Source organism: Homo sapiens, chromosome 1 (genome assembly GCF_000001405.40).
Source record: "Homo sapiens chromosome 1, GRCh38.p14 Primary Assembly".
Lineage (NCBI taxonomy): Eukaryota > Metazoa > Chordata > Mammalia > Primates > Hominidae > Homo > Homo sapiens.
Genome location: NC_000001.11, coordinates 58,287,921 through 58,302,015, shown reverse-complemented (window position 1 = coordinate 58,302,015; position 14,095 = coordinate 58,287,921). Strand labels below are relative to the sequence as shown.

At 40.9% G+C, this 14,095-nt stretch overlaps 1 protein-coding gene across 1 annotated transcript in view, besides 1 other annotated feature; it reads left to right on the top strand.

Moving 5' to 3' along the window:
* DAB1 (DAB adaptor protein 1) overlaps window positions 1-14,095 on the top strand; it is a 1,551,949-nt gene that overhangs the window by 244,711 nt on the left and 1,293,143 nt on the right. The window lies entirely within an intron of this gene.
* Window positions 11,052-11,252: a silencer, noted in NCBI's record as "peak251 fragment used in MPRA reporter construct". NCBI's record gives its function as "represses an SCP1 promoter by STARR-seq MPRAs in K562 erythroleukemia cells {active_cell/tissue: K562}" and the evidence as "EXISTENCE:reporter gene assay evidence [ECO:0000049][PMID:32103011]".

The following is a 14,095-nucleotide window of genomic DNA, read 5'->3' as shown; positions in this document are numbered from 1 at the left end:
AGGCCAGACTTCCCTGCTTAGCTCCCAAGGTGGTGGTGAGAATTAAGTGAGATCATAGAAGGCAAAATAATAATACTAATAAGAGCTAATATCTCCATATTGCTTACTATGTGACAGGCTTATACACAGAATTCTTACCACAACCCTATAGGGTAGATGCTTTTATTTTTCTTATTTTACAGATGAGGATCTGAGGTACAGTAAGATTAACCGTTTTTGTCCAAAGTTACAGAGCTAATAAAAGGCAGAGTCAGAATTCGAACTCAAGGCAATCTGGGTCCAGAGTCAAAAAGAATAGTAATCCCTCCGGGCCTCAGTTTCCTTGTGTGAGCTCTTTCCATTCTAAACTTTTGTATCAACAGACAATTAAGGTCTTAAAGATACTGAGAGGAGGGAAAAACAATGCATCTACAGCAGGGGTGTCCAATCTTTTGGCTTCCCTGGGCCGCACTGGAAGAATTGTCTTGGCCCACACATAAAATAGACTAACACTAATGATAGCTGATGAGCTAAAAAAAAAATTCGCAAAATAATCTCACAATGTTCTAAGAAAGTTTATGAATTTGTGTTGAGCTACATTCAAAGCTGTTATGGGCAGCATGTGGCCCGTGGGCTGTGGATTGGACAAGTTTGCTCTATAGTAATCCAGAAGTCTCATGGATTCTCCCAGAGGTTGAGATAAACTTGGCTGAAACCTACCTGCTTTACGGTCGGTGTGGGTTTAGTGCTTTCCGCAGAACTTCTGTGAGTTATTGACTTAGTTAATTTCATGACCCCCCCCTCTCCACCCCCACATATCTGCTCTTCTGTTAGTCTTGAACCTAGCATATGCCAATCAGAACTCAAAACTCCACCTTTGCAGGCTTCCACAGGTGATCTAGTGGTTGCCAGCATGCTATACTTGTAGATTTCCTGAACATTTTTGAACCATGATGTGGAGTCACATTACGGAGGGTGAGGCCCTCTATTCATGGCCACTAAGTAGCCTATACTCCACCTTTGTGCAAATTAGAAAAACAGCCCTACCTCACCATCTCCAGGACCAATTAGAAAAAGGACCTTCTCTGAGAAGACAATGAGGAAAATCTCTCCCTTCTTCACTAACATAGGTCCACACCAAGGCCTCAGTTTGGCAAACAGAGTGCATGTGGGCGGGATTTAAGCCCATTCCTGCCCTTTCACTGCCCCCACTCAGCACACAGCACAATGTGCAGAACTGTATGCATTGGTTCTGCCTCTGCCATCTCAGTGACCCCAAGGAAGCCCTACTTCCTTGCTTTCTCTCCTTGCCAGTTTTCTCTTCCTTCCTTCCTTCCTTCCTTCCTTCCTTCCTTCCTTCCTTCCTTCCTTCCTTCCTTCCTTCCTTCCTCTCTCTCTCTCTCTCTCTCTCTCTCTCTCTCTCTCTTTCTTTCTTTCTTTCTTTCTTTCTTTCTTTCTTTCTTTCTTTCTTTCTTTCTTTCTTTCTTTCTTTTCAGAGTTTCACTTTTGTTGCCCAGGCTGGAGTGCAATAGTGTGATCTCAGCTCACTGCAACCTCTGCCTCCCAGGTTCAAGCGATTCTCCTGTGTCAGCTTCCTGAGTAGCTGGGATTACAGGCACCCGCCACTACGCCTGGCTAATTTTTTGTATTTTCAGTAGAGACGGGGTTTCACCATGTTGGCCAGGCTGATCTCAAACTCCTGACCTCAGGTGATCCATCTGTCTCAGCCTCCCAAAGTGCTGGGATTACAGGCATAAGCCACTGCTCCCAGCCCTTGCGTTTTCTTAAAGCAGCAGTACCTTCCAAAAGCTCATTTCTGACAACTACATTTCTTCACTGTGCTAGGGCCCTTGAAAAACATATCCCAGAAGCCCCTTTTTCTTCTAAGCAGAGCCCACCACTACCCAGTTTTCTACATTATCCTGAGTCATCAGAGCATTCACGTTTTTGCCTAAATCTACCTTTGTCTACTCAGTAAATTTGGTTTCTAAACGTGACCCTTTCTTTTAGCAACTCCATGGAGCTAAGCCATAAATGAAGTAGAAATCATGGGAGAGACAGGAAGGCTTTTATCCTGTCCTTGAGCCTAGGGGCTTGTGCCACTCTCCCCTGGAGAGAGTTGCTTGCCTCTGCCTCCAGGAAGCATGTGGAGGGACAGGGCCTAGGTATGTGGCAGATGAAGGTATGTACTAGCAAGCCCAGTACATCACAATCAGTCTTTGGTAGGCAAGAAGACAAATGCACAGGCCCTACATACTCTGAGCAGAAGTGTTTAATCCTCCTGCAGTAATTCTGCTCATTCGTCTCTTGCTCTGGCTCCTGAGAAGTCCCAGAAAGATGTGTTACATTCCACATACAGCATCTTTAAGGTGCATGGGTGTGGGCACTATCACAGATAAAAGAAAGCTAAACCAGTGGTCGTCAAAGGCTCTGACTGTGTGCCCCTATCAGTAAGGCGTTTTTGAGGAATCACCCCATATATGTATGTTTATTTATGCATTATGTGTATTCATTTATTCATTGCATACATGCACCTCTGCACCTATGCTTGTATGCCATAAACATACAAAAATAAAATTAAGAAATGCTGTATTAAAATAAATGTGAATAGAAGTTCTAATACGTTCCTTCCACATCTGAGTTGATTATCTTGCACACCTCATTGAAAGTGCACAGCCTACTTAGATACCACTGAAGTAAACCATCATACCTCCTCGCTTAGGACTGTGGGAAGGACATACTCTTTGGAGTCAGTCAAATCTGAGTTTTAAATCTGGCTTCTCCAATCTCTAGGCAGGTAATTTTGGATAAGTAATGTAATCTCTTGTGCCTTAGTTTGAGCGTCTGTAAAATAAGGTATGATACTCTGAGCCAGACCCTCTGCTGGGTGCTACAGATTTAGAGATAGGGTAAAAGTTCCTTTATCAGTAGTCCAATACAGACAGAATTTCCCAGGATCTGTGAATGACTGCCCTCAGATGACTTGGGCTGTTGGTTGAAAATGCTGATTCCTCACCTTAGACATAAAATCAGAATTTTTTGGAATAGAACAAGGGATTCTGCATTTTACGTGTTTCCTAGTGACTCTTATATACATAAAAGAGAGAAGTAATTATACTGGTAAATAGACGTAGTAACATACTTCTACATAGAGTAGAGTAATTAGAGGTGCTACAAAGAAGGATAAATTTGGAAGGGTCTGGGAGCCCAGAGAAGGGGTGCCTACTCTAGACTGGGCAGCCTCCTGGAGACAGTGATGCAAGGCATTGATCTTGCCTCCTCCAGGCCTGTCTCAGTCTCAGAGTCAGCCTTCGGCCTGGGCCATGCCCCCATCAGAGCATTTGTTTGGCTCAGTTCTAGTCCTCGGACTCTTCCCACTCTTTCTAACTTATCATCTCCAGCATGTGTGCAGTGACAAATTGCATCCAGACCTACAGAATGTCTGCCGCACCTGCAGCTCCAGTCTGGGAGTGATGACAGAGCTGCTGGAGAGGCATAGGCTCCTTCTGCAGGCTGTACATGTTGTGACTCTGCAGAAAGCCTTGGGCTACAATAAAGAGTATAGTGTTGATAATTTGTTTATACCCCATCTCATTCCTATTCCAACAGGATTTGAAGTGTCTTCAAGAGATACAAATAATACAGGTAAAAAGATGAGATAAATGAGCAAAGGTGGGCAAAGGAACAATAATAGAAAGAAAGTAAAGTAAAGACAGTGGTGGAATCAGTCAACAAACTTTAACATGTAATCCTGTGCACCTGTTACAAGTGGCCATGAATTTGGCTTTAAGCTCTCTAGCCAGGAAAAAAGAGAAACAATATTAGTTTTATAGTATTCATAGCACCCATTTGAGTAAGTTGAAGTTGCTAATGAGCAGCACAACTAGAAATGTCTTAGAAAGATTGCAAAGATACAAAGTATCCAGTGAATGCTGATGTGAATGATAGCCTCAACACATTTCAATAATTTAAAATGTTGTCAATATATAATATTCTTTAATCATATTTTTTAATCATAATACTTTACTTGAAAGCGCTTTTAGGGTCATCTGGTTGATCTGACAATGGAGGAAACTGCCCCAAGTGATGGGAGCCATTCTCCCAATCTCCCACTATAGACACATTCTTTCTCAGCTCTGTGTTCTCTCCAAGCACCTTGTCCAAATGCAGTTGAAGATTTCCCAACAGTCAGGCACTCCTAAAACTTTGTTCAACCTGCTTCTACTATATTTACAAATGTCTTTCTCATGAATTTATAACCATCCTTCAAGACTCAGTTCAGATCTTACTTTTTCAGGAAGCCTTCTCTAATCTAACCAATTAGATTTACTTTCTTCTTCACCATGCTTCTATATTACTCTACTAGGATTTCTATTTTAACATTTATTATAATCACCATTGATCCAGAGTGTATATGAGGCCATCCACTAGATATGTCTGTCCCATTCCCTTTATTCCCTGTGTCTCCTGAACCTGCGGAGAAGTGGAGAAAGGGCCATTTGGAATCAGTCAGGAAGCAGTGCAAGAGCCCACCATTGAGCACTCACTCTGTACCAGGCATTGTGTAGTTGGGTTGAGTTCTGAGATGAATGAGACCTAGTCGTTGCCTTCAAGCCACTGCAACAGTCCACTAGACCATGGGCTCTTCGAGGGCAGGGGATATTTATACTCATCATTACACCTATAGGGCCTTATGTACACTTGAATTTGAAGCAACCTATCCAAGTAATACCAAGTTACAGGTCATTTAAAATACTCATCTCAGCTTTTATTTCTTCTACTTAATTATACACGTTCTCACTTAATTCTCACAACTCTAAAATAGACATTATTAACCCTATTTCACTTAAATATAAGTGAAAGAAGCTTGAATGCTTACCATTTAAAAATCCTATTAAGCTTCCATTTCAAGGGAAACATTGATTAAATACTACTTACCTTGCAAGGTTGTTGAGAAGAACAATGAGATGACATACATAAATGTGTCTCAGCACAGCACTTGACCTAGAGAAGATGCTTTGGAATTGTAGGCTGCACTCTCTAGAAGCTAACATTTTACTGAATATTGCTATATGTCAGGCACAGTCTGAAGTATCTGAAACATTTTAATTAATTAATATGCTTCTCTGGACAACCCTATGAAGTAGGTGCTAATTGAAATTTCTGTTTGAAAGATATAATGGAGAGTTTAATAATTTGCCCAAGGTAAACATAGCTAGCTGGAAGTGGATTGGGATTCAAACCCAGGTAGTCTTGCTCCACCCTGGGTTTTTAATCATACAACAATTCTGCCTTCCATTAAAGGCTACAATCCAACATAACAACTGTTATGATAAATATGGGTTCACAGTACTATGGAGGCATAGAGAAGAAATGAGCTAGAAGGAAATGCTTCCCATGAAAAATGATGGCCTGAGCACAGTCTAATCAGGACTGAGGAAGAGCACAAGGGTGAAGGGAATGGCACAAATAAAAGCATAGTCAACATATGCATGAGCCTCCAGCAGGATGTGCCACTGGAGTCTTGGAACATGCATGAGCTGCACTTTGCCTCTCACCTGTCCTTGATACTCTCTCCTGCCCCAACCACCCGCAGCTGCCTACCTCCTGTTGTTTGATGTTTGATGTTTCTGCGCATAGCCTTTGCCAGCGGATCATATTACTGGGTCCTTTGGGAGGGACCACAATCAACCATTGCTCTTTGTCTGAGTATCTACCAGAAGGCTCTATACCACTGTGGACACTCAGTAAGGAGTTGTTGACTGCCTCACTTTTCTTTCTTTCTTTCTTTCTTTCTTTCTTTCTTTCTTTCTTTCTTTCTTTCTTTCTTTCTTTCTTTCTCTTTCTTTCTCTTTCTTTCTTTTTTCTTTCTTTCTTTCTTTTTTCTTTCTTTCCTTTCTTTCTTTTTTTTCTTTCTCGCTTTCTTGCTTTTTTTTTTTTTTTGAGACAGAGTCTCGCTCTGTTGCCCAGGCTGGAGTTGCAGTGGCATGATCTCGGCTCACTCCAACCTCCACCTCTGGGGTTCAAGTGATTCTCCTGCTTCAGCTTCCTGAGTAGCTGGGACTATACGGGTGTGCCACCATGCCTGGATAATTTTTTTGTATTTTTAATAAAGACAGGATTTCACCATGTTGGCCAGGCTGGTCTCGACCCCCTGACCTCAAGTAATCCACCCACCTTGACCTCCCAAAGTGCTGGAATTACAGGCATGAGCCACTGCGCCCAGCCAACTGTCTCCCCTTTGATATCCATGTTCCCATTTGTAGCACCTCTGCCCCTTGCGTTCCAGTGTTTAATCTCTAAGTCATTCAACACACATCTATAGAGCCTCCACCAGAGGCCAGGCATGTCCTCTGTACTGGGCATAAAACAATAAATAAAACAAACAAAAAAATCTCTCATCTACTCTTCTTTCAAAGAAGAAAGGCGATAAACAAAAAAATGAAGTGTGTAATATAAGTCACATAGAAAAAATATGGCTTGAGCTAGAGAATGAGGGGAGAGGAGGTGGTCAGGAGAGGCCTCCCTGTTGAGGACATTTTGATCAGTGACTCCAAAAGCTATTGTGGGCTCTCTAGATCTAGAATTGACAGAGAGGGTTACAAAATGCTTTCCCCTGCCACCTCCACTCCCATGGAACGAGGACATCTAGAAATAAATTTTGCTATGGCTGGCCTCGTGACTGAAATCAATTATTTTCTCTCTCAGGCTTCAGAATTCTCACTTGTGTGAGAAATTATGACAAAGGCACAAAAGGCAAATATAACTCATTAATTCAGCAAATTTCTTCCAAGTACCTACTATGTGCCAGGAACCTTGCTGGCATGGGAGTTCTGTGAATAAAATAGTCATTGCCCTCAAGTGGCTCACATTTTGGAGGAGGAGACCAGGAGCAACAGAAAATCACAATACCAAATCTTGGAGACTGTAGCTCTTCAGAGGAGGCACCTAAGCCACCAACATGTGGTCAGGAAAGGCTTTCCAAAGACCACAATCTCTGAGCATACAGCGTTCCCCATAAAGTGCTTTGCTAATGACTAAGAAAGCCAAAAGTGAACATGAATCCTCTCTTATCAGCCTTAAATCTTTCTCATCACCACTCACCACACATATGCACTCAAACACACTTGCAAACACACACACACACACACACACACACACACACACACACGTTCTGGACCAAGCATGCCATTTTGCTGCTTAGAAGAGTGTAAATCCCGCATGCTAGCTTTGGCATTTTTGCATCCTCTACCTAGATGTGCTTCTGCCTATGTGCAGCTACCAAGTCCCATTCATCACAGCTCATAATGCACTTTAGAGAAGGCTTCCCCACTCTGTGCTGGCTGTAATTAACCTCTTTTTTCTAAGCTCCCATTGCAGCCTATATCATGATTATGATATATTTACCATGAAATTGGATTTATGTTTTCCATGACATGTTTCTGTGACATCTAGCAAAGACTAGATGGTAAGCTCCTCAAAGACAGAGCCGTGTCTCCTTTATTTGTATATCCTTAAGACTGTGCATAGTATCTGGCAAATAGTAGGTGCTCAACAAATGTTTCTTTATTCCCTTTAAAAATCTTTTTTTTTATTAATTGTCTATGAATATTTCTTAGCTCAAATTAAATTGAGTTGAATGGAATAGAAGCATGTAGGAGTTGAATTAAAATTTCCCTTCAGCGACTTGCTACTGAAGATGCTATGAATGGAGATTTTAAGAATTAATTTCTATAGGATTTATATAAATAAGTAATTTTTTCCAAAAATTCAAATTCCCTCAGGCATTTGGGAGATTTTTTTCATAGTCAAAAATGATCAGGTCCTGTCTGATGAAATTAAAGTCCTGTCTGATGAAAAGTGATATTATTTATCTATTGGTGGAATTGGGTAGATTAGGAAGCTGTCGGTTGCTTGAGTCTACTAGGTTTAACTAGATTGTAGTGTCTGGCAAGATAGAAAACACTAAAGGACCCAGCCATGAGTGAGAAATAGAAGAGAAAGCTGAATGAAACAGGAAATAAACCACCAGTTACAAAGGGCCAGAGACCAACATGATGGGTTCTGCTGTCATCAAAATGTGCTGTCAGAGTCCAAATAACTGTGAGCTCAGGAGGACTCTCAGAGTATCTCACTGAGGAGCCAGTCCTGCTCTAAAGAGTGCTAAGCAGATTTCACCAAAATATCCATTTATTACTTCACATTGGGACATTTCTGAGATGTTTTGTCTTGGGTCTTTCTAAGACTGACCACTTTGGAAGAAAATGAGACAGTTCAACAAAAGGAAGGGGCTTATGGCTTCTGCCTGTTGGCCAATTTGCTGAATTTGTTGTTTCCAAACAACCCTCTTGGGCACCAGACACAGGCTCTGGGTGCTCTCTTCCATGCTGGAGAGCTGGCCTGTACAGCTGGTAGCTGGGTCATCTAAAGGTTACCCTGCCCATGCCAGATTCTCCTGTGGTTTCCAGTGGTAAGTAGGAAAAAGATGATGCAATTCAGCCTTTCCATTGCTGTGCGGGCTTTATTTATACTCTACTGGGTTATTTTCTCTTCTTATGACTGCTGCCATCTCCCCTGGGGCTTTCTGAGGCTGCTCTAGGAAGGTATATTTTTTATTTTGATATTTTTTGGCTCTGCTGAGCATTTGCAGAAACAATAAACAAATGGAAACAAAATGCACAATACATGGGAATACAGGGGACTACTGAGAAGCTGCAGTGAGAGAGAGCTGATGTCAAAGATGAAGAAGGTTTCGGACTTAGGCCTTCTAGGCTACTCTGGCTGCTGGCGGATGTCATGAAGATATCTGCATAGTTGAGCTAGACTCAAGTCATGACTTCCATCTAACTACCTAACTAGGTGACTTTTTTCTTTTGCCTACCAAAGAACTTTCACAATACATCCTTGTTCACTACTCGCTCATTTATTCAATGAGCATTTCTTGTAAGGTGGCAACAGACTCAAGCCTTGGCTCTGAGTTTGTGCTTTATCATTGCCTCACTGTGCAATCTTTGGGAGGAAACTCTACCTCAATTTCACCTCAGTTGGGTCTCATGTGGGTCTCCACTTCACCATTCGCAAGCATAGAATTTTAGAATGTGATCTCGGTGAAGGCAGGAAAACATCAACTTGCTCATTTTTACATTCCAAGTGCCAAGCACAGAGACTGACTCCTATTAAATGCTCAGAATACTTGTTAAGTCTAAAGATTACAGAATGTGTTATATTAGACTACAGGATCTCCAATATTTCAACATGGTCCACCAATCTTTGCATGTATCTCTGGGGACTTTCTCCACCTTTTGGTCTGAGTACCCAATCAACTTCTCAGCCATGGGGTTTCTGGGGTCTATGCAGAGAGCACATATTATTTGCAACACTCCAACCCTTAACCCTGAAAATGCACCTGCTCTCTGAATTTCCATAGCACCAGCACTAACACACTCACTTCTATCTAAACACACACCACACCATCTGGTCTTTTACTTGTCCCTGCTCCTCACTAGATATGAACACATTGAAGACAGGTTCTCTTTTTATTTCTGTATTATCAGTGATCAGCCTAGTGCCTATGTATTGAATGGAATTGAAGAATTATTATTATTTTTCATCCTTAATCCTCATAGTATGACAGCATAGGCTCTAATAATATTTTAACAGTTTTGATGATACTTTTTTTCTTGATATGGTGTGTGCATAACTGTCTCTTTCTGATTTTCTCTGTGCATCTCTCCATCTTTTCCTCTCATCAGTGTGGTACAATGGTCAATGATGAGGTTTCTCCAGAGCACACAATTACGGAAGCTGAGAAATCCCATGATCTGCCATCTGCAAGCTGGAGACCCAGGATAGCTGGGGATATAATTCAGCCTGAGTCTGAAGGCCTAAGGATCAGAGGAGCAGATGGTATAAACCCCAGTCTGAAGGTGGTAAAAAATGAGGCAAAATTTCCCCAATCAAGCACTGAGTCAGAAAAAAAGGGGACAAATTCCTCCTTCCTCTGCCTTTTGTTCTGTTCAAGGCCTCAATGGATTGAATGATGCTCACCTGTATTGGAGAGGGCAATCTGTTTTACTGGGTCCATCAATCCAGATGATAATCTCATCCAGAAACATCTTCAGAGACACACACAGAAATAATTTTTAAGCTGGGTACTCTGTGGTACAGTCAGGTTGATACATACAATTAACCATCACAGTTAAGAACATGGGTTTTGGATTTAGATTTTTGTGGCTTCGAGTCTTGCATTTTCTAGCTATGTGACCTTAGGAAGTTAACGTCTCTATGTCTCCCCCCGCCAGGTTCCCACAATGAAAACTGGGACAATAATACCGTTTACCTCATTCTGCTCCTATGAGCATTAAAAGGACACAAAGAAGCACTTGCCACATAGTAAACATTCAGTAAGTGTTAGTAAATATTATTGCTGCTGTTGTTATTGATCACATATTTTGTGTTAGACACCATTGTAGGTCCTGTGAACAAGAGAGAAAATTTCTCTGTTCTCATTGAGCTTAATTTATAGTGAATCAACCCCTAAACTTCTGACTTTCCTGTGAGAGACAACTCTTTATGTTTTAGCAGCCACTTACACTTTAGTATAAATCAAGTAGTGGAGCCTTCCTGGAGAGGAAGTTTTGATTGTGGAAGGAAGAAACATGAGGCCATGGAGCACCTGTCTTGAAGGTGAGAAAGAGAAAGAGAAGAGAAGGCTGTGTTATTCAGGAAATAAACCACCAGTTACATAATTTTATTGCCTCCCCCTGTCTCCAGGCCATGGTCAGCAAGTTTAATTTATTGGTTTTTATGAGCAGCCGCAAGGCTTGTCCCATCAATTCTTTGTTTTTGATGGCTGTGGAGTGACTCAGACTATTAGCCTTGTATGATTACAGCATCTGTATTACGATGTCGAGGACATGTTGCTACTTCAATTTATTCCTTTTATTTAGTTCACTTTGTCTCACTCAGCATATCACTCAGCTTCTGTTCAAGAGAGCAGTGGTGATGGACAATTTCTCTTTCTCTCTCCTCTCATGATATTCCCTCTCCTTTATGCCCTTCTGTCTTTGTTGGTGTCTTGTTTAAAGGAAGATTTGTGGATCTCCTGGTTTTCTCTACATTGGCTGACCCTCGGGTCTGCAGCTCTCAGCAATGCGGCACCTCTCCATGGTACTGAAAACAAGCACGTGGTTCTAACTCTGCAGTGGCAGCCAGGAGAGCCTGGAGGATCCTAACTTGCAGCAGCAGGCAGTGGCTTGAGAAAGCATCCTGTCCAGTCCCCTTTATTTCAACAAAAATGGATTAGAGACCCAGAAATGAATAATGATCTCCCTAAGGATGATGTACATTTCTTGTGAGACCAGAATACAGCTTTTCTGGAGACATATTCAGAGCTTCAGAGACGAGCTAAGAAAATTATTTGCTCTCCTTGGCCTTCGTTTTAATCATCTGTGAAATGGAGAAATACCAATTTTTTTTTACAACTACTGTGACATATAGATTAGATAATGTGTGTAAAGTCCTTAGTGCACTGCATGCCTCATGTCTACTTCTCTACCTTTACCTTCTGCTGCTTCCTGCCTGACATGTTGTGCTTTAATAATATGAAAAAATTTACAGTCCCCTCTTCCCATATCATGCTGCTTTATGACTTGCTCATACTGTTCATTCTGTCTATGATGCCCTTACAAATCCTTCTCTGACATTCCAATACCCACACCTTGCTCACAATTCAGATCAACTGACATCTTTAGAAAGCCTAGTTTGCTCTTCCCTGATCCCCTCAATGTGGATTTGGTGTCCTTCCAGGTGCTCTTATGCCACTCTATGCCATTAACTTTACATTCCTCTCTGTCAAGACACCCAGTACATGATCATGAATATCTTGGTGTCTCTGACTTATTGAACTGCAGGCTCTTTGAAAGAAGGGGTCCTATGCCATTATCTCTAGCACAATACATGTCGCCAAGTCAGTGCTCAATATTTGTGGTTTTTAACTGAACATGATAGGAGCTTAAAACATATGAGTTTCTTTCTTATTCCAAGTCCAGGGCTCTCTTTCCATAATGTACTGTCTCCAGCTTGTTGGAAAGCTTTTGTGCTGGATACAAGTGAGAATATCTTTATTTGCTAATGCCAAATACTTGTAGGTATTCTTTGGTTTGCTGTGGGCCATCTTTTGGGTAGGATGGATTTATATCAATGTGATTTGTCATTGCTTTTAGCATAGATTCTCTCCAAATCAGATAATTCACACAAGCCATGAATAAGATCCAGAGGGGAGAGGGTATCTGCCTCCATGAATTAACTACAAAGTCATCATGATTCCAGCATGTAAGAATCCGTAGCAAATTCTAAATCATCACAAGACTCCTATTTAATATTCACTGGGAAGAAGAGCTTCTCTTATTTTAGGAAAATTAATTGCCTTTCAAATTGATCTAGAAGTTTAAGTCCATTTTTATAGTTCAGTGGGGCTAAGTATTCACTTTTAATATCAAGTCCATGAAAGTCTAAACTTTAATGGTTTCCCTCAAACTTTAAAATCATGTGTTATTGAACTCTCAGTGACATCACTAAAAATCACTTAGTTTAATGAGGGGAAAATGACTGGAATCTAAACCAAAACATTGAGGTTCCATTCCTGGTCTGATAATGTTCTATGTAAATGATCTTGAGGAAGTCACTTCACCTCTCTTAGCCTTTTGTCAATCATCTTTAAAATGGGAATAGTTACAGCCATCATATTATCTTTATTAGAGATGCTAAGAGGATACACTAGATTGATGCAAAGGTACAGTGAAAAGTGTAAAATTCTCTACAAATCAAGGCACAGAAAAAAGGTAATACCTTGGAAAGGTAGAAACTGGTAGTTGGAAAGAAAAAGGGGTAAAAAAGTGGATGGCAAAAGCTACAGAAATGTTTGTTCAATGCAAATGCGTGATAGGAGAAGAAAGCCTAGAGACAGCCTACACAAAGAAAGCTCTAGAGAGACCATAGCATTATTATGTCTAAGTGGGGGTGGATAGGGAAACTAAAATTAGTTACTGGGTGGTGTCAGACTGGGACTGACAGAGCCAGTTCAGGGTATTCTTGCATGAAGTTATTTGGTGCTGAACTAAGGCTACATAAGCCTGTGTATTATTGAAGGAGCAGAGAAATATGACCAGCACACATAAAGATTTCCCCTTTAGCAATAAAAGTCTAAGCAAGCCAAATAAAGAAGCCTCAAAGATTACTTTGTCTCAAGTTTCCAAGTTAATTTGTTTCACTAGAATGTAACTGCAATGGGTCTTTTAAATGGGAAGCAAAAATATAAGGAGAAGAGGGTCAAAGGAGGGGCTTATGAACTTAAAATAATAGCAGTATTTATTTTCACTTATTATGTACCAGGCACTATACTAAAAGACGAACTTTTCACAGTAACAGTAGAGGTATCTGCTTTCATGCTGACATTACATGACTGTGTACATATGGCTGGGAGAATGCTCAAGAAGTAGATCTTTATCTGCACAAGAGTATTTTGAGAGCTGATTCTTCCCACTTCAGGGAAGCCATTGTTATTAAATTGTAGACTTTAATAGAGACTAAGGGATAGAATTTCAGAAGGCTGAGATTGCTACCGGGCACCTTTTCCAGCCATACTGGAAAATTTTCCATTTCATTATACCATTGTGCTGATGTATTCCTGATTTATAAAGAGATCCAGACAGAAACTTCAGATAAGCAGGAAGAGGTATTTTTGGAAAACACATTTACGTCATTTGGAGTAAAAGATACCAAGAGATTTCAAGAGAGTAAGTGGAGGCCATTAAAGTTGTTCCAGACATAATCTCCATCCCATATAATTTGTCAGTTTAAATGTAAATGAACAAATATTTGTTCTTTGTGTATACTATTTGAGGTGTTGAGACCTCAGAGATGATTAAAAGACTCTATATTTAAGTTGCATGTTAAACATGGAAGCAAACTCTTTGCTGCTCTTTTTTTTCTTTTTTTTTTTTTTTTTTTTTTTTTTGAGGCAGTCTTGCTCTGTCACCCAGGCTGGAGTGCAGTGGTGTGATCTCAGCTCACTGTAGCCTCTGCCTCCCAGATTCAAGGGATTCTCCCACTTCAG